This window comes from Homo sapiens, chromosome 11 (genome assembly GCF_000001405.40).
Source record: "Homo sapiens chromosome 11, GRCh38.p14 Primary Assembly".
Taxonomy (NCBI): domain Eukaryota; kingdom Metazoa; phylum Chordata; class Mammalia; order Primates; family Hominidae; genus Homo; species Homo sapiens.
The window spans coordinates 58,823,353-58,848,801 of record NC_000011.10 but is presented as its reverse complement, the minus strand read 5'-3'; the positions used below and the strand labels follow the sequence as shown (position 1 = coordinate 58,848,801).

The 25,449-nt window shown below is 37.8% G+C and overlaps 1 protein-coding gene across 4 annotated transcripts in view; it reads left to right on the top strand.

Annotated features, from left to right (window-relative positions):
- The window catches only part of GLYATL2 (glycine-N-acyltransferase like 2), a 75,764-nt gene extending 61,027 nt beyond the window's left edge, over positions 1-14,737 (top strand). The window contains exons 1-7 of one of the 4 annotated variants that reach the window (XM_017017337.3): positions 4,098-4,368; positions 7,971-8,108; positions 9,150-9,267; positions 10,434-10,541; positions 11,405-11,531; positions 11,625-11,787; positions 13,965-14,737. In XM_017017337.3, coding sequence (XP_016872826.1) covers positions 9,190-9,267; positions 10,434-10,541; positions 11,405-11,531; positions 11,625-11,787; positions 13,965-14,373 — 885 coding nt within the window. In that variant the 5' untranslated portion in view covers positions 4,098-4,368; positions 7,971-8,108; positions 9,150-9,189 and the 3' untranslated portion in view covers positions 14,374-14,737. Of the gene's footprint in view, positions 1-4,097; positions 4,369-7,970; positions 8,109-9,149; positions 9,268-10,433; positions 10,542-11,404; positions 11,532-11,624; positions 11,788-13,964 lie in introns of those variants that run through there. The other 3 variants (NM_145016.4, XM_017017338.3, XM_047426545.1) reach the window with 3 other exon arrangements.
- Positions 14,738-25,449: the final 10,712 nt, after the last annotated feature.

Sequence of the window (25,449 nt, the reverse complement as noted above, 5' to 3'; positions counted from 1 at the left end):
ATTATTTCTTTAAATAAACTTTCTACCCCATCTCCATCTCTACCTTCTCTTTAAGGCCAATAATTCTTAGATTTGCCCTTTCAAGGCTATTTTCTATAACCTGTAGATGTGTTTTGTTGTTTTTTAATTTTTTTATTTTGTATCTTTTGAAAGCGCATTTTTAAATAGCCTGTCTTCAAGCTCACTAATTCTTTTTTCTGCTTTGTTAATTCTGCGAATAAAGGTCCCTGATAGATTCTTCAGTATGACAATTGCATTTTTCAGCTCCAGAATTTCTGATTCTTTTTAACTATTTCAATCTGTCTGTTAAATGTATCTGATAGAATTCTGCATTTCTTCTCTGTGTTATCTTAAGTTTCTTTGAGTTTCCTCAACACAGGTATTCTGAATTCTCTCTCTGAAGGGTCACATATCTCCATTTCTCCAGGATTGGTCCCAGGTGTCTTATTAAGTTGATTTGGTGAGGTCCCATTCTTCTCAATGCTGTAGATGCTAGTAGATGTTCTTCAGTGTCTGAGCACTGAAGAGTTAGGTGTTTGCTCTAGTCTTCACTGTCTGGGCTTATTTGTAGCCATCCTTGTTGGAAAGGCTTTCCAGATATTTGAAAAGATGTAGGTATCATGATTTAAGCTGTCTCTACTTCAGAGAGCATCCCAAGCCCAGTAATACTGTGGTTTTTGAAGACTCATAAAGGTACCGCCTCAATAGTCTTGGAGAAGATATGGGAGAATTCTCTGGATTACCAGGCAGAGACTGTTCTGTTTTCTTCCCTTACTTTCTCAAAAAAAAAAAAAAAAAAAAAAAGCCTCTCTCTCTGTTCTGAGCCAACTAAAATTGGGGGTGGAGTGACATAAGCACTCCTGTGGCCACCGCCATTATGACTGTGCTAGATCAGGCCTGAGGTCCGCACAGCACTGCATCTTGACCAAGGCCTGCTGTAATCACTCCTTGGCTACTGCCTATGTTCACTTAAGGCTCTGGAACTCTACAATCAGAAGGTAGCAAAGCCAGCAAGGCCTGTGTGCTTCCCATCAGGGCAGTGAGATTCCTCAGGCCCTGAGATACAGATGTGCTGTCCAGAAGTCAAGGACTAGAGTCAAAAACATTAGAGGGCTACCTGGTGTTCTATTATATTGCAGTTGAGCTGAGGTTCAAACCACAAGATGAAGTTCTTCCCACTTTTGCCTTTTCTTTCCAAAGACAGAGGAGTCTCACCACATAGTCACCCCTACCCACTGGTTGCCAGACTACCAACCAGTGTTCTCTTAAGGCCTAAGGGCTCTTAAATCAGCTTGTAGTAAAGTCTACCTGGCCTGGGACTCACCTTTCCGGGCAGTGGGCTTCCTTCTGGCCCAGGGAAGGTCCAGAAATGCTGTTCAAGAGCTAAGTCCTGCAATTGGGGATGTCAAGAGCCCACTTGCTGCTCTACCATGCTGTGGCTGTGCTGGCACCTAAGGTGCAAAACAAAGTCTCTTTACTTCTCCTTCCACATTTCTGAAGCAGAAGGAATCTTGCCCCAGAGCTGCCACAGCTGGAAATGTGCTGAGTCTCACCTGAAACCTGCTATCCTCAGATGCTCACGCAAGGTCCTCAATGTACTAATAGTACATGGGTACTGCTGTAGGTTATTCAGGGCTCAGGGTATCTTCTACCAGGTGATGAATGCTGTGAGGACTGGATCCTTTTTTTCAATGCAGAGAGTTCCCTTCCAGCCCAGCAAATGTCTAGAAATGTTGTCTGGGAGCTGGGGCCTGGAACGGGGGCCTCACAACTCTATTTGGTGCCTTATCCTGTTGTGGCTGAGCTGATATCCAAGATGCAAGATGAAGTTCGCCTTACTGTTTCTTTTTCATTCCTCAAGCAGAGGGAAGGAGTCTCTTTAGCAGCTGTGAGCTATGCAGCCTGGGGTTAGGGAAGAGGTGATACCAGCTCTCCTTTGACTGACCCAGCTGGTGTCTCAGTATGTCAAGTGTCCCCCCAGTCCACAATTTCTGAGCCTAATTCAGCACTAGGACTCACTTAAGAGTTGCAGTCCTTATGGTTTACACTGCCTTTCACGTTTACTTGGAAACACAGAGAACTTTAGGCCCTCTGTGGTGAGGTTTTCAGTCACTGAAGTTTTGACTGCTGGGATTGGTGATTCCCCTCGGGTTAGGACTGGTTTAAATGCTCCCTCTGCCTCCATGGGCAGGTGTCAGCTGAGTTTGGTCTAGTTTTCCTTTGTGTCTAACATGACAGCAATGAGTTCAATGCCTCATAATTGCTGTGTTCTTTCTACCCCCGTGCCCAGAGATATACTGTGCACCACACTACTGCTACTGAGGTTGGGAGGGATGGGGATTGGTGATTCAAGACTGTTTTTTACTGTCTCTTCAGTGCCTCTTTCAGGGATATGAAGTCAAAACCAGGTACTATGAGTGCTCACTTGATTTTTGGCTCTCATGAAGGTATTTTTTTCTGTGTAGTTGTTAAGTTGGTGCCTTGTGGGGTATGGGGAAATGATTAGTGGAGCCTTCTATTCTGCCACTTGCTTTGCTTCTCCTCCCCATTATAAACTATATAAAAAAAATTTAATGGCTCAAGAAATTACTTAAGTAATACTCAGTATAGAAAAAAAATATGTGTTCTCTCAACTATCCACAGTTTGCTGTCAATTATGGAATAAAACATATGTATTGACTAGTTGAAATGGACCATTTTTTAAAAAGGATGATTAGTTTACTGTATAACTCTATAAACTTTGATATGTATTTAACAAAATAATCGTTTACAATTATGAATATGTAAAATTCTTTGATAGATTATGTGAACCACTTTTGGTTCAAAAAGTAGAGTAACTAAAACTATAAAACTCAATGCCTTACATAGCAAGAATGTGTAGATAGTATTAAATTATCACTGATAATTTTTATATGTCATCTGGAGTAGATGATTTAGGTTTGTAAGAAGATATAAACTGCCTAAGGGTAGAGAATCACTCTCTATGGAATCATAGTGTCATTAAAATAATTCGATATTTGGCCTCATGTTCCAGACATTGCCACTGGTTAGTTTTGTGACCTGGGGGAAGACATTTATTTTTTTCTCAGCAACAGCTTCCTTATTTGTGTAAAAATAACTCTTGCTTTTCTCATGCTATAAATGATTACAATTTGTGAAGTTTCTTTCACTTCCAGAAAGTGGGTGAATTTTTTTTTAATTAGAGATAGTATCTCACCCTGTTCCCCAGGCTGAAGTGCAGTGGTGAAATAGCTTACTGCGATCTCAAGTTTCTGGGCTCACGTAATCTTTCCATCTCAGTCTGCTGAGTAGTTGGGACTATAGACACATGCCACTACATCTGGCTAATTAAAAACCAAAATTTTAAAGACTGGGGTTTTATTAGGTCGCCCTGGCTTGTATCAAGTTTTTGCCCTCAAGCGACCCTCCTGCCTGAGCTTCCCAAGTAGTTGGTATTACCGATGTGAGCCACTGCACCCAGTATAAAAATTTTATAACTTATATTTTCCCATGTTTTAATCTCAATGTCTTCAAAATGTAATGTTGATCAGATTCTTTTAGATAGCTTTTTATAACATACAGATTGCCAGGCACTCTGGGAGCCTCTGATTTACCTGATCTGGAAAAGTTCTTGTATTGTTAACAAACAAGCCTAATTGATCTTGAAGGAGGTGGTGTGAGGAACACACTTTGAAAAACAATGTTTGTCTCTATTCCACTACAAAGCTAATTCCAGTCCCCCTGAAACTTTTCTCCAGTAATTGATTTTTCTTCTTAAACTTACAATGCCCCTCCCTGTTGCTCCACTTTAGACAACCAGAGGACAAGGTATATGAAACTGAGTTCTCATTATTACAGTAACTTCCTTGAGGCATTTTTGGCTTTTTCCAAGCCACAAATGGTTGAAAGTATTAAGCCAAGTATTTTGCATTGAAATCAAACTTTCCAACTCTTTGTTTGCTCTACTGACATCATTTAAATAAGGCTGCAGCTGTGCTATTTTTGCCAACAATGGAAAATTGACTTAATATTGTTCTAGAATAGCCTTTCAGCTACAAGAGGTTATATATAAATCAAAAGCTTCTTGAGTAAAACTTCTTAGAATTGTAGAAGCTGCTCAATATGGAACATATTCTCAGTCCTCCTCTGGTCTACAAAGCCTGTGATTTCTTGTCTATGGACAGAACGTCTGGTTTAATCTACAGGAACCCATAACTTCCTGAAGCTTTATGCTTAACAGTGACAACGTGAGTCAGTTGAATTTTATTGTGTTTCAGTCCGTAGAGTATTAGCTACAGAAACCTTTCCATTGCCATACTGAGAAACTGCAGCAGGCAGTGTGCCTACAGGTCTACAAAGAAACTTCAGGTAAGCAGAATTATTTAGAACAGCCTTTTTATCTTGGCAGTTCAATTAATTTGGATTCTTGTTCTAAATCATTTGTATTTGTTAATTTATTTCTTTTCCCCTGCAAACCCTTGGAAAGAGCACTCCCCAGGGTCTCAATGTTGAGAATGAATTCTTCAAAACCTTTTAGGTACCTGAAACTGGAAATACTTCAGAAAAAGCCAGTGCGTATCCTTTTGAATTTGTAAAATGTCCAAATGCTTTCCTTGAATTATAAGTTATCAATATGCTTGTACCTTTCTCTGACACCCTCTAGATCTCCATAGTAATACTGTTAGCAGAAAAAAAAAATCAATATTCTCCTTGCCTCCAATCCTGCTTCTAAAGTATTAGTGGTTTATTTGCATAGAAAAATCTTCCTTCTTCCTTCTGTGTCATGTGGCTAGAATAAAACAATGCTTTTCTGTTGCCCTCTGCCAAATTTCTCTCCATTCATTGAAACATTTGGCAACTGGTATCCTAATGTTTCTCTCCAACAAACTTCTGCTACATCCTATTCATGTCTGTGGTACCTGAAACTCCCATTCCCTTCTTGGCTCCTACTCTGTTGACTTGGAGTTGAAGCCAACAGCCCTACATCCCAAACTGATCTACCTCTGAGTGCCTCTGACATCTTAACCTCTAATAGTCTAATATCTGATCCCAATCTCCTATTTTTAAGTACATTTTTCCCTGTCTATTAACATTGCTATTCTTTGACTTCATCAAGTACTTTCTTCCATGGCTTTTTCTATATTTTCTTACTTTATTGGTCTCCAACCTACTTTACTTTTTCTCTTCTCTCTCCTGGATGCTACAGTTTGTAAGTTTCAATCTCTCATTTCTATATATTCAAATGCTTTGTACCTTATCTTTTTTGCTACACCAGCCCTGAAAAAACCAACCTTGGTTTGTTTTAATTTGTCTTCTCTGCTTCTACTCTCAGGGAGCTGAGCTCAATATATTGTTGAGTAACACTTCCAAATCATAGTGTCCATCTTTACATTATCCTAAGCATGCTTGCTAGTCCTTGCTAATTCTAGTCCACTCTTTCTCCCATTAACATCAAAAGCCATTTAAACCCTAACTGTTTCCCATAAAATCCTACTTCTTTTTCTCGACACTTTCTTGGCATACTCCCTCACCCACTTACTGCTAAAAAGTGATTTTGGAAATAGGAAAAAATTTTACCTCTTCCAGGAAACAGACATTCAAAAATAACTTGCCAACTCTCTGCTCTTTTTTTCTAACCCTGTGTACTCCCATATAAAATTAGTCCTCACTTAACATTGTCAATAGGTTCTTGGAAACTGCAATTTCAAATGAAACAACATATAACAAAATTAATTTTACCATAAGCTAATTAGTATAAAGAAGAGTTAAGTTCCTACAGCATATTTCTGGTCACAAAAACATCACCAAACTTATAAATAAAGAACCCAAACACTTCTAATATAAAACAATGAACTAAATGGAAACTGCGTATACATTTAATAAATATTAATAAAAACAAGATAATTATTTACCTAATTTTTGGTGAGTCTGTGTGATGGTGGTCACAGTAGTGGTGGGTTAAATTGAGAAATAAATGTTTGCAAAGCAAAAGTTGTAAGGAGCACCTCTTGCCTCTATGAAGTTAAAATTCAATCACAAATATGGTGGCCTCACTGAGTCCTTTGGCACAGCATTGTTTATTGTCATTCATTTGTATGATTATCATAGACTTCATGAATTTTTGTTTTATTATGAATGTTTCATTCATTCATTCATTCATTCATTCATTTTTCAACTGGCTTTTTCCAGTTCAGGGGAGCAAGTGACTGAAGCCTGTCCTGGTAGCTCAGAGCACAAGGCAGGAACCCACCCCAGACTGGACACCTTTCCATCACAGGGCGCACACACACACACACACACACACACACACACACACACACACACAGAGTCTCACTCATCCTGGGACAATTTAGACAGAGAAAATCCATGCAGACATGAGGAGAACAGGCAAACTGCACATAGACAGTAGTCCAGCCAGGAATTGATGTTTTTCTCTTCACCATTGTAATGAAAAGATATTGAACAAAATGACATTATTTGATGACCTGCTGTATACGTACATACATACACCTGCATCTGCATCCATCCTAATTTTTTTTCTGACTTTTCACTGAAAGAAGTATTCTTCCAGTCCAAAACTTAATTTCACAAGTATGCTGAGAATTATCATTGACGATTACATGAATTAATCAACATAAAGAAGCTGAAATAGGGTTGGCATTTTGTATATAAGGTCAATGAATTTCTGTCACCTTTCTATGTCCTGTTTACACATTGGCCTATTAATGACTTACATCTTACCTCTTGTAGTTAGTATAGGTATGCTTAACTCTCATCTAATAAGAGAAATGCCTTTTTTGAGCTCTTGTACCTCTCCTCTGTCCTTCGATATTCTCATGTTCTTCTTCCTTTCCTGGTCAAGCTCTTTGAAAAAGTTACCTTCACTTCCTCACGTTTCATTCCACATCTCTTACCAAGTCAGTAATCAACTCCTAACTCCAAAATGCACTGCCATCTTTAGTACTCATATCTTTTAGCTTCTCAGCAGCCTTTGACTGCTTTGGTCGCTCTTTCCTTGAAGTTGATTGCTCTCCTTTGTGGAATATGCTACCAAAGCCTGCAGAATGGGCAGAATGCTGTGCCATTTGGTTAGTGCACCCATCATCCTAGACAGTGACAGAAACACATTAGCTTTTTCTAGATCTGTGGTTTGCCTCAAAATATCTATTTTGTGTCAATAGATTTATTCAAGCAAGTTACATGTAGTCCATCTTTGAAGTTGCAGTTTTCTTCATTTATGTTTCTGTCCGGTGGAATGGTCACCTTCACTGGATTAGAGGTCTTTAAAATGTCCTTCAGAACCTTGTATATACACAAATTACCACCATGCTAAACACTTCACATACCTTTTCTGGCAATGAAATCCTCATGACAACCTACAAAGTAGATATTACTATCCCCATTTTATAGATAATGCAACTGAGGCAGAGACTCAAATAATTTGACTTACCTAAGGTGACCCAGATAGCCAGAGGAGGAGCCAGGGGTGGAGTTTTGGTTTGTTTAATTCCAAAGCCCATGTTGTTAACCACTGTGCTTCCTTTTGTATTGATTATGGCTATACACTTACATATATACATGCATACATAGATGTCATATTTACTGAGTTTTCTAGGATTGCAAAAAATATTAATGGCTTCCTTGCAAACCATCAAAATAGTGTAGAAAATTTTCTATTTGTTGGTTCTTGGAAAATATGGCCATTCTTATATATTGTCTTCAAGTATCATATGAGGTATTACATATTTATATATATTGTCAGCCGTGTATATGGCTGGAAGAAAGTTCAAAAGTTCATATTTATATCTTATTTATATACTACTTTGTTTCAGAAAGACTTTCAGGTGGGTATATGCAAATGTACATATACACAGATAACCATTCACCTATGCATCTTTATATTATTATTTTTTTAATTTTTATTTTATTTTATTTTATTTTATTTTATTTTATTTTATTTTTTGAGATAGAGTCTCACACTGTCACCCAGGCTGGAATGCAGTGGTGCGATATCAGATCACTGCAACCTCCTCTTCCTTGGTTCAAGCAATTCTCCTGCCTCAGCCTCCTGAGTAGCTGGGACTACTGACACTCACCACCACACCCAGGTAGTTTTTTGTATTTTTAGAAGAGACGGGGTTTCACTATGTTGGCCAGGCTGATCTCAAACTCCTGACCTTGTGATCTGCCCGCCTTGGCCTCCCAAAGTGCTGGGATTACAGGCTGAGCCACTGCACCTGGCCTGCATCTTTATATTATTAATTGGGATTACATCATATGTTTTCCTGACTTTGTAACACAGACGTTTTCCTATGTCATTAAACACTCTTCAAAGACATCATTTTGATAGTTGCCTGGTAATCTATTATTTGGATACACCATCATTAACTTGATCATTTCTTCATAATGAATTTTGTATTATATCTTATATACAGTATATTATAATAAATTTTCTTATGTTTACATCCTTAAACATATCTATTATTATTTCCTTGGGATGAGTTTCAGGATGTGGAATTACTGAATAAAAGAGTTTGGTCTATTTTTAAGGTTGCTAACATATAATTCCAATTCCTAGATCTTGCCAATTTCTACTTGGTGGTATCATCACTAATCAACAATTTTTTCTTCCTATGGTTTTGTTCCTTAGGAGAAAAGGGACTACACACAATATAGTCTGCAAGATTTTTTTTTCAGAAGATTATATTCTTTCTTGATAGCTGAAAATAGTACCCATGCTATGGGAACATTAGAGCAAGTGTTTCAATGCTTGGGGGTGGTGGGCTCTCCAGAGGGACAATCCCTGAAGAGATGCATTATTTTTTATTTGTGCCTGGACAGCTGAAGGCATTCACTCTCCATATTCTTTTACTGGTTTGAATCAAATGAGCATGGGAGATATATTTTGCCAGATATGTTAATGTACTTTTTAAGTGGAATTGTATGGAGATTACTAAGGAGCCCTGAGGTCTAGTTACACCTCTGAGCTTTAATTTCTCATTTGTAAACTGAAAAGTTTGGACTAGATAATTTCTAAAGCCCATCACTGCTAATAGTGTATGATGTCCCTGGTGACTTCTCCTTCCTCTTCTTTCTGGACACCTATCATATCTCTCTAGGTATTTTTGTTTTTGTGTTTATTTCCTTAGATCATCTTCTTGAGGGAAAGAAGCTGAAGTGCTACATAAGATGCTTGTGCTTCATAACTCTCAGAAGCTGCAGATTCTGTATAAATCCTTAGAAAAGAGCATCCCTGAATCCATAAAGGTAACGGAGTAGGAGGAGATCAAAGGAGAGAGAGGGTTGAGTTGAGAGGAGGACAGATTCAGGATTCATAACCTTAATGGGGAGATGGGAATGCAAGTCTAAAGTGAGAATCTGTGCAAAGATTACTTTAATATCAATATCCAGTCAATCACCCACTTTGCTTCCTTTTTGTGACCTCTTAAACATCTTTTGAATTTATCCTTCTGCTATCTTTGGTGTACTTTGTCATCTCTTCCAGGTAATTGCAATACCTCCTTGTCTCCAATCTTAACAGCCTAGTTACAACTTTGTGATGAGAGTCATCTATATGACACATATAGGGTCATATCACTCCCTGGTTTTAAAATTTGCCATAGCAAATTTGCAGAGTCCATCTCCAAGGCTTAATTGGGTTACAGGGCTTATCCCAAAATTCTCCAGCCTTTTTTATTTTGCCTCTCAACATTCTCCTGCCATATACCACTTGCTACAAATATTGAGCCCCTCACAGTTCAGTAGGCATGATATCATCTGCCATACTCTTAATCATTTCACTCATGCTTTTTCTCCTACTTGTAATAACTTGCTCTCATTCTCTATTTTGCCAGAAAAAGGCATAACATATTCATCAAGACCCAGTTCAGATATTGCTTCTGATATTGTAAGTTTCCTTATCACTTCCTAGACAGGTAGTGCTTTTCCTCCTTGGGATCCTACACCACCATATACATATATCTCTCAGACCACGTGTCCTACGATGGTTGAACTATGTACTCTCTATCCTTCTAAACTTAACTTTAGGGTTGTAGCCATATCATATTCACCTTTGAGTTTTTCATGCTTAAGACAGACCTGATACATAATAGATGCCAAATAAATAGTGTGTTATGAAATAAAGAAAAAAACTGAGAAAATGGCATGAATTTTTTAGAAATGAATGAATATCAGGGAAGCCAGTTCCTAATGACTCAGGTATTAACTTGGATTTTTGTGGATGCTTTTTGGGCCGTCTAGCAGCATAACTCTCAATGAGTAGCCCAATGAGCCATCCTGGAAGCACTGGCCCATCCTAAGTCCTCCTATACTTCTTGTCCTTATTTCTCATGTCATGTCTTATTTCTCCACATATAAGACTCTATATTGGAGAAGAACTTCATCCTCTCCTGCTTTGTTCTGTTGCATCGTAGGTATATGGCGCCATTTTCAACATAAAAGATAAAAACCCTTTCAACATGGAGGTGCTGGTAGATGCCTGGCCAGATTACCAGATCGTCATTACCCGGCCTCAGAAACAGGTAGGAGCAATAGTTACTGAATATGAGGGTAGTCACTCTCCAGACGTTCTCTGCATGGCAATGAGGGAACTGAAACTGAGGAGTGGTGAGAAGAACATTGACACTGTTGATGTATGCAGGTTTTGGAAGGGCTGTTTGGGAGACAGGGTAGGGCAGTGAGATAAGGCTTGAACTTAGATCCAGTGATCAGTAATCCAGGATGTGTAAATAAAATTAGGATTCCACCCAGTCAATCTATTCCATCAAGATTCTGATCATAGGAATACATCCCAACCTAGACTTCTATGGCTGAAAGTGATTAAGAAGTGTTTTCACCTGCAAGGACTCCCAAGGGGAAGTGTCAACAGCAGAGGGTAGGCAGGCATATGGAGGCAGACTGAGCTGTCTATTCTAGGTACTACTCTGGCTCTGGAATGATGGTTCTTTCCAAAACTTCATCTATTCACATGCACACCAAGAGCCAATCACTGAGCCAGCCCCCTGGGTCAGGATTAGCTCAGGTGACACCTTGTCAAAAACCTGGAGCCTTGCCAAACCTGTTCTTTATATTTCTTTCCATACCTTAGGCACCTTCACTTTTAAATGCTTAACATACACCATTTAGGGTACACTTCCCATTCTAGACAATGGAGTTATTTACTCACCCTCTCAAGGGCAGCTCACTTTAGTGCCCTAAAAGAAAGCAACTATCTTCAGTGTATCAAGAGTGAGTTATTCTTGAAGTGACTCCAAGGCCATTTTCTACACCTGTCTCAGAAAAACAGAATATTTCAAACAATTGAATCTCTAGCACTCTAGACCTATGCAAGAACATTTTGTAAATTGTAGCGCTATGTAAATATAATTGATATTTGTTATATCAGGAGATGAAAGATGACCAGGATCATTATACCAACACTTACCACATCTTCACCAAAGCTCCTGACAAATTAGAGGAAGTCCTGTCATACTCCAATGTAATCAGCTGGGAGCAAACTTTGCAGATCCAAGGTAACTAGTCTGAGTTAAAAGAAAAAGATCCATGGTTTATTCCTAGCCGATATGGAAGGCATAAAGTGGTACTTGTCTTTCTCCTTTCTCCAGGTTGCCAAGAGGGCTTGGATGAAGCAATAAGAAAGGTTGCAACTTCAAAATCAGTGCAGGTAGATTACATGAAAACCATCCTCTTTATACCGGAATTACCAAAGAAACACAAGACCTCAAGTAATGACAAGATGGAGTTATTTGAAGTGGATGATGATAACAAGTGAGATTTTACCTTTTGCTTCCCAAATTCCTTGATAGAATTACTGAGTTGCCACAAAGGCTGTACTTGGAAATGTAGGATTTGAGACTAAATTATGATGGGCTACACAATTGCATGGGTAAAGAAAGGGAGTTATGTTAGCAACTGTGTACTGAGCATGGACATAGCCTTCATTAGACAAGGTCTTTATGCATATTATTTCACTTAGGGCTCACAACGTCCTTCTGAGAGGGTAATGGACATCATGGTGACATCAAAACATGTTTACTGAAACTATTTATGTCTTACAAAATGCTGCATGCTTATAGAAAATACATAAGTATATAAAATAAAAAATAAAATCTGTCCACTTGGGTTCCCTTGCTAGGTGTAAATAATTTTGACACTGATATGTATGCTTTTAGTACTCTATATGAGTTATGTATTTATTTTTACAACACATACACACTTTACTGCAACTTCTGCAATGAATATCATCATAAATAGATCATTGCACAGTTGTGTAAATATATCTGAAAGATGAATTACTAGAATTAAAATTGTTGAGTCAAATAATATGCATACTAAATAAATGATGTTAACAAACTGGATGGCAAGATTTTCATGAATTTAATGTGTGATATCATAACTTATGAAACAACCTAAACATCCAGTAATGGGGAAATGGATAAATTTATTATGGGACATTGAAACATTAGAATACTATGCAGCCATTAAAAAGAATGAAGTAGCTCTACACGACAGATTATAAAATATTTCCAAAATAGATTGCTACATGAAAAAAAATAAGGTGGATAGAACAATGTATATAATATGCTACCATTTGTGTAAATAAACAAATGTACATATACATCTAGAATTGCAGAGAATAACTGGAAAGTTGTAAAAAATATGTTGGCATTAGTGGTTGCTTCTAGACAAAGTAACTGGGTAATATGAGATCAGAGAAAGAAGAGAGATTTGCTTTCCTCTAGTAATCCATTTATGCTTTATATTTGTATTACTAATTGAAAAAATAAATAGAATTTAAACACACACTCACAGATACATTTGATTTAGCCAGAAAAGTCAACACTCTTCAAATCCTGCTTTGCCCCACCAGTGTTCATATGAGACACTTAAGGGGAACATATACACAGGGAAAATGATAAATGGGGATTAAATAATATTTAGTAGTATAACTCTGGAAATCTGGCATGAAATACCTGCCCTAAGGTGATTCCTCTAAGCCTACATGGATATCTTGGTATCTTGCCACTCTAGGTTTGGCTATCCACAGGAGAGGGTACAGGAAAGGGTACTTGAGATCTTTCAGGAAGCAAGTCCAGGATCAGGTGAAGTGAGCAAAAACAAAGCATCGCCCGTAGAAAACTTAGCGTTCTGTTACCCACCCACTGGCAAACATGAAGTGACTCTGAAACTGACAAACTTCTCAAAACTCTTTCTCCCTGGAGAGGGGCTAAACTTCCTGGAGATCTTCTCTCTTCCACCATCCCCATATTTACAGATGATATTACTGTAATTTCACAAGCAAGAAAACCAAGTAAACAAGAGAACATAACCTTTCCAAAAGAAAATAATCAGGATTAGAATCCCAATGGTTAGCACCAAAAATGTAGTATTCTTTTTCTTATATTGCAGCTTCTTAAACTGCGTTTCTGGGTATGTGATGAAGGGCTTTGGGACACATGAAGATGTAAGATCAGCATTGTTCTCATCTTCCTGTAAAATATGTTTTATTGGAATATCTGTTCAATGAAATACTATCTTGTATATTTAGATATCTTGTGATGCAGAACTCAAAATGCACATGGTTTCATACATGCATCTTTCAAGTAAATTCAGCCATGTGGAGGGCTTCTCTGGCCTATATTCACACTCTTTTAGGGACATGTGTTCATTTTCTTCCTTAGGGCACTTAGTGGGATATTTTGAGATGTCCTATAACATATCATGCTGTCTCTCTGCTATTAAATGGGCCGTAAAACACACAGTGTTCCCCCATCAACTATTTGGAAACATTTTGAAGCGGAAATAGAAAAGGTAGTTGTTATGCATCTATTGCCTCCTCCAGGCTGTAGGGTCCTTAAGGAAAGGAATGGTGTTATATTTATTTTTTGAAATTCCAGTGTTTGGTAATATTGGCTGAATAAATGTAAAATTCTTTTTCTTCACAGGGAAGGAAACTTTTCAAACATGTTCTTAGATGCTTCACATGCAGGTCTTGTGAATGAACACTGGGCCTTTGGGAAAAATGAGAGGAGCTTGAAATATATTGAACGCTGCCTCCAGGATTTTCTAGGATTTGGTGTGCTGGGTCCAGAGGGCCAGCTTGTCTCTTGGATTGTGATGGAACAGTCCTGTGAGTTGAGAATGGGTTATACTGTCCCCAAATACAGACACCAAGGCAACATGTTGCAAATTGGTTATCATCTTGAAAAGTATCTTTCTCAGAAAGAAATCCCATTTTATTTCCATGTGGCAGATAATAATGAGAAAAGCCTACAGGCACTGAACAATTTGGGGTTTAAGATTTGTCCTTGTGGCTGGCATCAGTGGAAATGCACCCCCAAGAAATATTGTTGATTGATTCCACTGTCCATTTCAAATCTTTCTTATCAGTAAAAAAACATTAATTCAAACACAAGCATTGTGATCTACATTAGCACAAAATGCAACTGATTATCTAGGATCTGTGTATTACTTAAGCTCACCCTTAACAGTTTTACCTTCCTTCTCCTCTGTATTCTTACAGAAAATTAGAAGCTCAATTTTATGGTCTCATAATTTCCTTTATGACAGACATCTCAGAATTAAAATCACCCAAAGCCAATCATTAGTGCCAAGATAACCCTTTAACGGCAACACTTTCTTAAATGAAGACTATTTCTTTCATGAAAAAATTCACTTTTATGACTTTCTTGTTAAAATAAAAAGTCTGCTTTTAAAAGTGTCTCCTCTGGTATTCTTCCCTTCCTTCTAAAAAGTTATCCCAAGGACTTTTAAAAAGCCCTCAGCATCATTGCTTTTTATTCGGAGTACCCTCTGAGGAGCTTTGAGATGCTCCGCTAAATTAAATTTTGTGGCCATGAGTGAAAATTTGGTTTTCTTACTTGCTTTTTATCACAAGGGGTTGCTAGGTTGAGTTGCAAATTTAAAGCTTAACTTTAAATTTTCAAGATAATTTTTATGTCTATGATGTATTAGTTTTGCCATTATAACAAATTATGATAAATATTATGACTTAAAGCAACACAATTTGTTATCTTATATTTATGGCAATCAGAAGTTCAGAATAGGATTTATGAGGCTAAACCCAACATGTTGGCAGGTACAGTTCCTTCTGGAGGTTATACGGGTAAATCAACTCCCTTGCCTTTTCCAGATCATACAGGCTGTCCTCACTCCTTAGCTTGTGTCTCTGTATCACATCATCTTTTATCTCTCTACTTTGATCATCATCGCATCACTTTCTTCTCTTCTACACTCAAATCTCCCTCTGCCTCCCTCTTAGAAGGACACTTGCATATACATAGGACCAACCTGGATAATCCAGGATAATCTCCCCATCTCAAGATTGTTAATTTAATCACACTTGTGAAATCTCTTTTGCCATATAACACTCAAAGCTTCTAGGGATTAGGACCTTAATATTTTTGGAGAGGCATTATTCGGCCACCCCTTATGTGTACAAGTGTATGTTTTTTCCTGAGCAAAGTTACCTCATACTTTCAGAATTTAAGTGTTCTCAGTCCAAGTCTGGTCATGATTTCTATATTCCAGGTCCATGTTGATGGAAAACTGAACTTACTCTAGCTTGACACCTTATCTATCTCAAATCCTATCAGCTATGACTTAAGGGTAAAGATCATTTAAAAAAATTGGTAGTTGGCCGAGCACGGTGGCTCACACCTGTAATCCCAGCACATTGGGAGGCCAAGGCTGGCAGATCGCGAGGTCCCGAGATGGAGACCAACCTGGCCAACAGGGTAAAACCCAGTCTCTACTAAAAATACAAAAATTAGCCAGGTGTGGTGGCAGGTGCCTGTAGTCTCAGCTACTCAGGAGGCTGAGGCAGGGGAGTCGCTTGAACCAGGGAGTCGGAGGTTGCAGTGAGCCAAGACTGTGCCACTGTAGTCCAGCCTGGCAACAGAGCAAGACCTCGTCTCAAAAAAAAGAAAAAAGAAAAAGTAATCAGAGCACATTCATAGAAGGGATTTGGGGGCGAAGACACCATAGATAAAAGGTTTAGTTAAATTTAGGCAAAATAGAATCAACATCTTCATCTTCAAAATATCCTTTTTGCTTGAAGATAGGTGCCTACCAAGGCTGGTAGAGATGATACAGTCAACCCACAACAGGGGACCACAGTCTGAAAATCCCTGTCATTCTCTGAAAAGAGAGAAGCTCCCAGGCACTCTGCCTTTACAGTGAGCCAGGAACTTAAGGACTTGGCTTCTCTCCAGACTCCACTTTTCCTATCCTAATTTACATTTTAGGACTTGGTCCTTATGATCAAACCTTCCAGCAGCCATGACACACCTTGGCTGTATAACTTAAAGTAGAAAGTGCTGACTCAAGATAGTATCGAAGTAATCACAGAGATGCAATAAAGTGAGTGAGAAATGTTCACACAATGATAAGACCTTACATTTTAGATAGCACTTAGATTCCAGGCAGCATTCCAAGTGTTTCACACATTTTAACACCTTTAGTACTCACAACTATCCCAAGAGGTAAGCAGGCATTGTCATTACAGAAGAGAAAACCACACTAGAGAGCATTTACATCCCTCCTCCAAGGCCATCTAATGAATAAGTGGCCAATTCAGGAAGTGAACTCAGCATGGCTTCCAAGATAGTACTCAACTTCTGAGATATAACTAGTGACAGAAGGCTAAGGCTTAATAAACATTAGCAAATTAAATTATGAATAATTGCATTTTAGCAATATCAGACTCTGGACAACAACATTCTCTTGTTGACTATGATCCATCATGTAATTTTGTACCAGAATCCTCCCAATTTCTAATAAAAAGACCCAGGGAGTCAGCCAACATACTTTATACCCCTTTTACTAATCAATTCTGATTGATCCTAGAGATAACATTAGCTCTAGAAACTCTTGCACAACTTTCAAGTCCTCACCTCAATGCCTCTGGCTGGATTTTTGTTGGCTGGATGACTTCACACAAGGGGTGCTCACACCAAATATTGAACCCAGAGATAGAGTATTTCATAGAAATATTTCTGCTATTGTGGGATCATTCTAATGTCCACAATCCTACCTAAAGCTAAGCCTAGAAGATGATTCAAACTTTGCTCCTCTAGGCAACACAAGGTAAGTGAAGTGTGAACGTTGCTTTGTGCTGCACTTGGCCAGCCTCTGGACTCTAGCTTTATTAAGAGAAGATGACAGTTGCCAAAAAAGTAACTTGTTGCTAAAAATTTACCAAAGTTGGTTAGTTAAGATTGGGTTCAAGTAGCAATGATCAACTTGAGTTACTCTGAGCATGAACAAAGTGTTTTATTTATTTGAATATAAATTAAAAATATAAAGATATGGATTCTCAAATACAAGAATATAGATTGACCCCCAGGAAAAAGGATAGACCCTGGAAATGGAAAACTACCAGGGGCTCTGGGACCACTTTTTCTCCATGCTTGTTTTCTCTGGACAGACAGGCTTAAAAAGTACACACACACACACACACACACACACACACACACACACACACACACAGTGGTAAAATATATATAACATAATATTTATTATTCTAACCACGGTAAGTACAATGCAGCGGTATTAAATATATCCACAATATTATATAACCATTCTCATTGTTTCAGAGGCGCAGACTGCAGAGCCGCCCAGGTCCTGAGCCTGGGAGGGCGGTTGCAGCTGCACCTCTGGGAGCTCTCGCCCTGCCAATACGCAAGAGGCAGGGCTCCCGCTTGTCCCCTGCTCCCCTGGCTCCCTGTAGCTTGCAGCCCCCGGGATGCCTCCGAAATGGGAACGGGCGCTGACAGCGGAGAGAAGCCACGCAGTGGGAGCAGGCACTTCCGAGCCTGTGGGAGGCAGAGGGGTCTTCCTGGGCCCCCAAGAACACAGAGACGCGTGATCCCGAGAGCCGAGAGCCGTGGCAGGGCGGCTGCAGGGGCACCCAGGGAGGGCGGGGCTCCTGCCGGCTCCGTGGAGCGTTATAGCTCTGGCCAGAGCCTCTCCGCGGTATCCTGTGTCTTGATAGCGGCGGCTCTAGATGGGCAGCTGTTTCCGTCACTATTACGTACACCTAAAACTTTTTCATCATCTCCAGCATGAACTCTGTACCCATTAAACAACTCCTCATACTCCCCTCCCTCCCAGATCCTGGTAACCTCTATTCTATGGTCTCCATGAATTTCTCTACTTTGGGCATGTCACAAAAGTGGATTCATACAATATGTATATATCATTTTGTATCTGACTTATTACACTTAGCATAACGTCATCAAGGTCCATTAATATTGTAGCATATATCAAAATTTAGCTTTTTTGTGGCTGAATAATATTCTACTGTATATATACACCATATTTTGTTTTTCCATTCATCTGTTGATGGACATTTGTGTTGTTTTCACCTTTGGCTATTGTGAATAACGTTGCTATGAATGTGAGTATACAAATATGTTTGAGGCCTTACTTTCAGTTCTTTGAGGTATATGTCTAGGAGTGAAGCTGCTGAATTACATGGTAGTTCTATGTTTAGCTTTTGGAGGAACTGCCAAACTGTTTTCCACAGTGGTTGCACTCTTTCTTTCCTTCCAGCAAAGCACAAGCGTTCCCTTTTCACTCCACATCCTTGTCAATAACTGTTATTTATCCCCTTTAAAAGAATTATAGCCATTCTAGTAAATGTAAAATGATATTTCATTGTGGTTTTGGTTTGCATTTCCCTAATGACTCATAATATTGAACATTTTTTATGTGCTTATTGGCCATTTGTGCAGATAGGCTCTTGAATTACAGCTCTAAATTTTTGCATTTCTGCCATTCAAATGACTCACTCAGATAGATACTTAACTTTCTTAGTCACAACTCCAAATTCATCAGTGACTACACCACTACACCTAAATGCAGCAGCCAGGTGCCCACTCCTGGCCCAGTCAGTTATGGCAAGTTCTGTGGCCCAAATACTATATCAAATAGTACCTCCTGGTGTCCCTTTGGGTGGAACAGAAGTGGGCAAGGGAAAGAAGTTAGCAGGAAAGGAATTACTTTTATCTGGAAATACCAAAAACTGACAACATTTCTCTTTTATTTATTTTATTTTACTTGGATTAGGATAAAACCACTGAACACAATAACTACACAATATTTGGCAAAAAATCCTCAATAAACTAAAGAAATAAGCTGAGTATTTTCTATGCAGAAAGCAGTATGTTCAGCTGAACTTGCTTCTCTTTTAGTTTTCTGATGGCCAAGCCCTAGTAGAACATTTAGGAATCAACTTTTCTCCTTATTTTTTTTTTTTTATAACTTTGGCATGTCTCTGTTCTGCCAGCCCCAAGTTGGCCCGTCCCTGTTACAGAGAAAGAAGACAAGGAACCTGCTGTCTTCTGTAGTTCCCAACATTTTATGCTTTTCTTCTTTAATCTTTTAGAAACTTTCTCCAAGGTAGAAAGATTTTTGAGGTGGCTCTTTAGGAAAGATTAAGAAAGCATTGGCAGGCATATTGGTGGCTTGGTGTGGAGAGCCAGTGGGAAAGCTTCAGTAAATTGCGTAGATCAGAACCACTTTTCACAGAAACTTTCCTTACTTATATGACATTTCCAAAAGGGAGTGGCAATACAACATACAATAACCTAAACAGTGGCCTATAAAGTGATATACTGTCACATCTAACTCAGGATGTGGTACACTGTAAGGGATGACGAGTTGAGGCTCAGAGACTAGGTTCAAGTTTTAGTTCTCTCTCTTGCTAGCTATGTGATCCATAGTAAGACCCTTCAACTCTCTGAGCCTCAGTTTCCTCATCTGTGGAATGGGGTAATTATGCCAATTTGGAATTGGCTTATTTATTGTATGTATAATATATAATATTGTAATGATCAAATGCAATAAAATAAAGAGTTTCTAGTATATAGGACATGCTGAAAAAATGGTTGTTTGATGATAATGTTGTTATAGTAGATATTTAATAAGTATTAGTACCTCTTTGATCCCCACTAGTCCCTCAAATTCTTTCTTAGCAGCCATTTTGACCCTGAAACTTTGAGACATGTCTCAGTTAATTTAGAATGTTTATTTTGCCAAGGTTGAGGACACATGCCGATGACACAGCCTCAGTAGGCCATGACAACATGTGCCCAAGGTAGTCAGAGCATAGTTCGGTTTTATACATTTTAGGGAGACATGAGACATCAATAATCAACATATGTAAGATGAACATAGGTTCGGTCTGGAAAGGCGGGACAACTTGAAGCAAAGGTGAGACAACACAAAGTGGGAGGGGGCTTGCAGGTCATAGGTAGATAAGAGACAAATGGTTGCATTCTTCTGAGTTTCTGATTAACCTCTCCAAAGGAAGCAAATAGATATGCATTTATCTCATTGAGCAGAGGGTTGACTTTGAATAGAATGAGAAACAGGTTGGCCCTCAGGAGTTCCCAGCTTGACTTTTTCCTTTAGATTAGTGATTTTGGGGGCCCAAGATGTTTTCCTTTCACATTTCCTCCCTTTTCTTTTTAAAAATCTTTTGGATAAATTATTTTAGAAGAAAATGACTCTCTGGTCCCAGGTTTTGTCTCATCTCTCATGGCTAAGATGGTTTATTCCTAGACAGGTAAGTCCTACATTATTAGGAAGGCTCATTTTTAGAAGGTTGTGAAGTCTCTTGTCCTATGAAGAGAAAATATGTGGAGAAAGGGAAAAAAAACAACAACAACAAGCAAAAGAACAATCCTGGAAAATCACTATAGGCCACATTACTCTGAAGTCCATATATCAGTAGGAAGGTATGAAAGTGGCTTATTTATATAAATAGGTTGCTATTATTTTCTTCTGAAGATTAAGTTATCTAGCTTCAGTTTGCAGGGCTTTACAAAGTCACAGCTTAGTTTTCTGTGACTCCAAATTAGGAAAAATACAAGAAAAAAGAAGGAGGCCGGGTGCGGTGGGTCACGCCTCTAATCCCAGCACTTTGGGAGGCCGAGACGGGCAGATCACGACGTCAGGAGATCAAGACCATCCTGGCTAACACGGTGAAACCCCGTCTCTACTAAAAATATAAAAAAAAATTAACCAGGCTTGGTGGCAGGCACCTGCAGTCCCAGCTACTCAGGAGGCTGAGGCAGGAGAATGGCATGAACCCGGAAGGTGGAGCTTGCAGTGAGCTGAGATCGTGCCACTGCACTCCAGCCTGGGTGACAGAGTGAGACTCCATCTCAAAATAAATAATTAATTAAATAAATAAAAATTTTAAAAAGAAGGAAAAAAATTGAACATTATTTTGAAAACTTGTAGCAAAGAAAAATTAGAATTCAGTCCAAAATGTAGAAAATAATAACAATGGAAAAATATTAGGCAAGACTAGAATCTAACAACAGGTATACTATAGTTTTTAAAACATAATTTTTCTGTCTCCACTTTCTCATATTTGCTAAAGACAAAAATCATGGTAAGACTGGTTTGCTTTATTATACTTGGCCTAATTATTTGTATACAGTATGGCAAGAATAATTATTTTTATATAGGCTTTTAAATTGGCTTTGATGGAACTTTGTTCCATAGAAGGAACTTCAGATAAGACTTTTTTTAAAGCTGAGCTCAGCCATGGATTTGTGTCATCAAATACCTATGAGTTGGGTGATCCTCCTCACTTGAGGTTCCAAGATATACTTGGGGCTCCTGGGACTGTCAGAAAGTGATATTCTTTACTCATCACAGATCAGGAACCCTGAACAGGGGCTGTGCAGAAAAAGATATGAGGACAGTTTTTCCAAGGGGCTTTTTTTGGCTCCATAAGTCAAGTTTGATTCCTTAAAGGAAAGTACACCATTCCAGTCAAAGCCTTGGGAAAATAACCAGTTTCTCCAATTTGTGTCCTGTTACAAATGAAAACAGATTCTTATTGCACTTGTGATAATAATTGTATTGTCATAAATTAAGAATTCTCACAAATAGTTTCCAAATTCTAGAGAAATCAGGTAGAGAGAAACAAATATGCTCCAAATTTTGTTCATATGAGTATACTTTACTCAATTGATAAAATCTGCAAATAGCTTAAAAGTTTTCTTGACTCTGAAAAACAAAGCTAAGAAGATTGCTTTAGTCTTCAATTAGTTCAGTTCACAAAGTTAACTCCTGTTCTCCTTGATATTCATGAACATTTCAGCTCTCCATGAGAGTGCTAAAAGTTTTTTCCTTTATTCTAATGTTACAATCTCCAAAGTTGTCATAAACCTGCATTCAAGAACACCTGTTTAAGTTCTGTAGTTGATTATAAAATCACCTGCTAAGGAGGATTTAAATGAGACAAAAATTGTCTGTGGATGACAAAAGGTTTTAGGGCAGCCATAGTCAAAGGCACAATTGACAAATCTTTTATCTATGTGTCACACAATAATTTGACATGACAATTTTAATTATTGCTGATAATGTACACTAAGTCATGGCAGAATTATATGAGTTTCCCATGATTTTGGAACACATACCAATAATATATTTATACAAATACAGCCTAAAAAACCCAAACACTATTTCATATTTGACAATGTTTTCTGTATAATTTTTATAGCAAATAAGCCAAATTATTTCATTTTTGGACTTTAGGAAACCTAATATCTTAAAGGATTAATTACATCAGAAGAAAACGATTTAGCATTTGATTTTGGAAAGTCCGTGATATATCAAAGGTTTAAAACACTTGATATCATGGATCATTGTAAAATAAGTCTTTCATCTGACCAAAGTGATAACTCAAGGACTTCAATAAAGAAGGCAAAAACCTTCATTTTTTGAGAGAGGAGACTTAAATTTCCAAATAATAAGCCCTAATAAAAACAGCATGAAGCCAATTAAATGTTTTTTTTTCAAAATTTTACAATCTATAAAATTTTAATCTTGATCATAAGATACAACTTCCATAACACTTTTATAACCTTTACAACCTTTATTTAGGAGTCAGTTAATGCTTCAAGAAAACCCTTGACACAGGGGCCCATATGCTGATCTTGCATATGTGTGCCTCTCACATTAATCATTAATTTATAGATAAACTGAATTTACTTTATCTCTCAAAATCAGCCCTTACAATCTCACATGTCCACCTTTTCCATGATAATCCCTGGGCCTTGAGGAGTTGAATAGGTTTAATTTCTGGAATGCAGTTTATTTTGATTGGCATCTTGTACCAGGCCTGAAGATGGGGTTTTAATTCCTGTTACTGTTTAGAATTTAGCAGGACTTGGTGTCCTTTTTAGACCCAGGATTCAAAGCCCTGTAACCAATGTCCAAGTACTTTAAAAGTGCATGCAGAAGCCATAAAAAAAGAATGAGTTCATGTCCTTTGCAGGGACATGGATAAAGCTGGAAGTCATCATTCTCAGCAAACTAACACAGAAATAGAAAACCAAACATGACATGTTCTCACTCATAAGTGGGATTTAAACAATGAGAACACGTGGACACAGGGAGGGGAACATCACACACCAGGGCCTGTCGGGGGCTGGGGGGCAAGGGGAAGGAAAGCATTAGGACAAACACCTAATGCATGTAGGGCTTAAAACATAGATGACGGGTTGATAGATGCAGCACACCACCATGACACATGCATATGTATGTAACAAACCTACATGTTCTGTACATGTATCCCAGAACTTAAAGTAGGAAAAAAAAAGAAGAAAAAGAAACATATAAAAGGTGGGACAAATAGAACTAAAGACTAAGATTCTAAAAATAAAATAAACTAAAATCCATCAATTAAACAGACATGTTGTGTAAAAAAAAAGAAAACGTATGTTAATTTGACATTAAAGAAAATATAATCACTGTTAATGTTAGAAATAAAGCTCTTGAAAACCCTCACAGTAAAGGTGAAGTCATTCTATAGGCTCACATAATTCGCAGTGTTTATGTAAAGATGTGGATTGTTATAGCTCTCATTAATTAATTACATAGGTTTGCATCTCTAGTCTTAGTCTTAAATATATGGTGTTAACACCAGTAACTTACCTGATAAGTAGAAGAAACTTAAGATATTCTATTTAGTTAAGCTTGAGATAAGATAATAATTCAAAAATTATGCATAAACTAAAATGTTATATTTATATTATATTTCGCACTCTGATAAAATCAGAGAGAGAATATACAGCTATCTCTTTTGCCAAAATCTATAATGTATTGTGTATGCATGAACTTGAAATGTGGATTTTTATATAATTCTTCTGTATTTATTTTTACTAAAGTAATATTGAAATCTTTACATTTTACCTAAATTTTTAACACAGAAGGGTGTTTTGTAAAGTCATCTTCTGACTACTAATTGGTGGCTAAATGACGATTTACAATTCTTTTTTCCTTGTAATTCAACATTAGGAATTCCATGTTATTAAACTAACATTTGCATTTTTTCCTTTTTCTGGTCCAGGGGCTTTTTAGAGAGAACTGTAACTTAATATTAAAAAACAGGAATGTTTTTCACAGTTCTATTAATGACTTGGTTGTTTATACATAGTTTAAATTTTTTTAATTTTATGCTAATTAGGGTAATATAAAGCTTTATTTTTATCATCTTAACCATTTTGAAGTTTGTAGTTATAGATGTTAAGTATATTCACATTGTTTTGAAAGATATATACTTTTTTGTTTTGAGGTGGAGTTGCACTCTTGTTGCCCAGGCTTGAGTGAAATGGTGTGATCTTGGCTCACTCCAACCTCCACTTCCCAGGTTCAAGTGATTTTCCTGCCTCAGCCTCCTGAGTAGCTGGGACTACAAGAGTGTGCCACCATGCTCAGCTAATTTGTGGTGGCTGATGCCTGTGATCCCAGCACTTTGGGAGGCTGAGGTGGGCGGATCATTTGAGGTCAAGGGTTTGAGACCAGCCTGACCAATCTGGTGAAACCCCATCTCTACTAAAAATACAAAAGATGTATACATTTGATGAATGTTTTAATAACTAAATTAATTTGTAAAAAGCACATGTGGAGAGATACATGGATGTAAAAACCTTAATTTTTTAAAAAAATTTTAATGTTAGTTTTTTCTGATGCAAACCAAAACTTAATAATAATGTGACAACTTGATTATATAAAAGTTTTTGCTTATTTTAACTCACTTAAAACTGCACAACTACATTGAAACTGAACAAACTGCTCCTGAATGACTACTGGGTAAATAACAATATTAAGTCAGAAATAAATAAGTTCTTTGAAACCAATGAGAACAATGACACAACATACAAGAATCTCTGGGACACAGCTAAAGCAGTGTTTAGAGGAAAATTTATAGCACCAAATATACACATAAGGAAGTGGGAAAGATCTAAAACTGCCACGCTAACATCATAGTTAAAAGAACTAGAGAAGCAAGAGCAAACAAATTCAAAAGGTAGGAAAAGATAACAAATAGCAAAGATCAGAGCATAACTGAAGGAGTCAGAAACATAAAAAACTGTTCAAAAA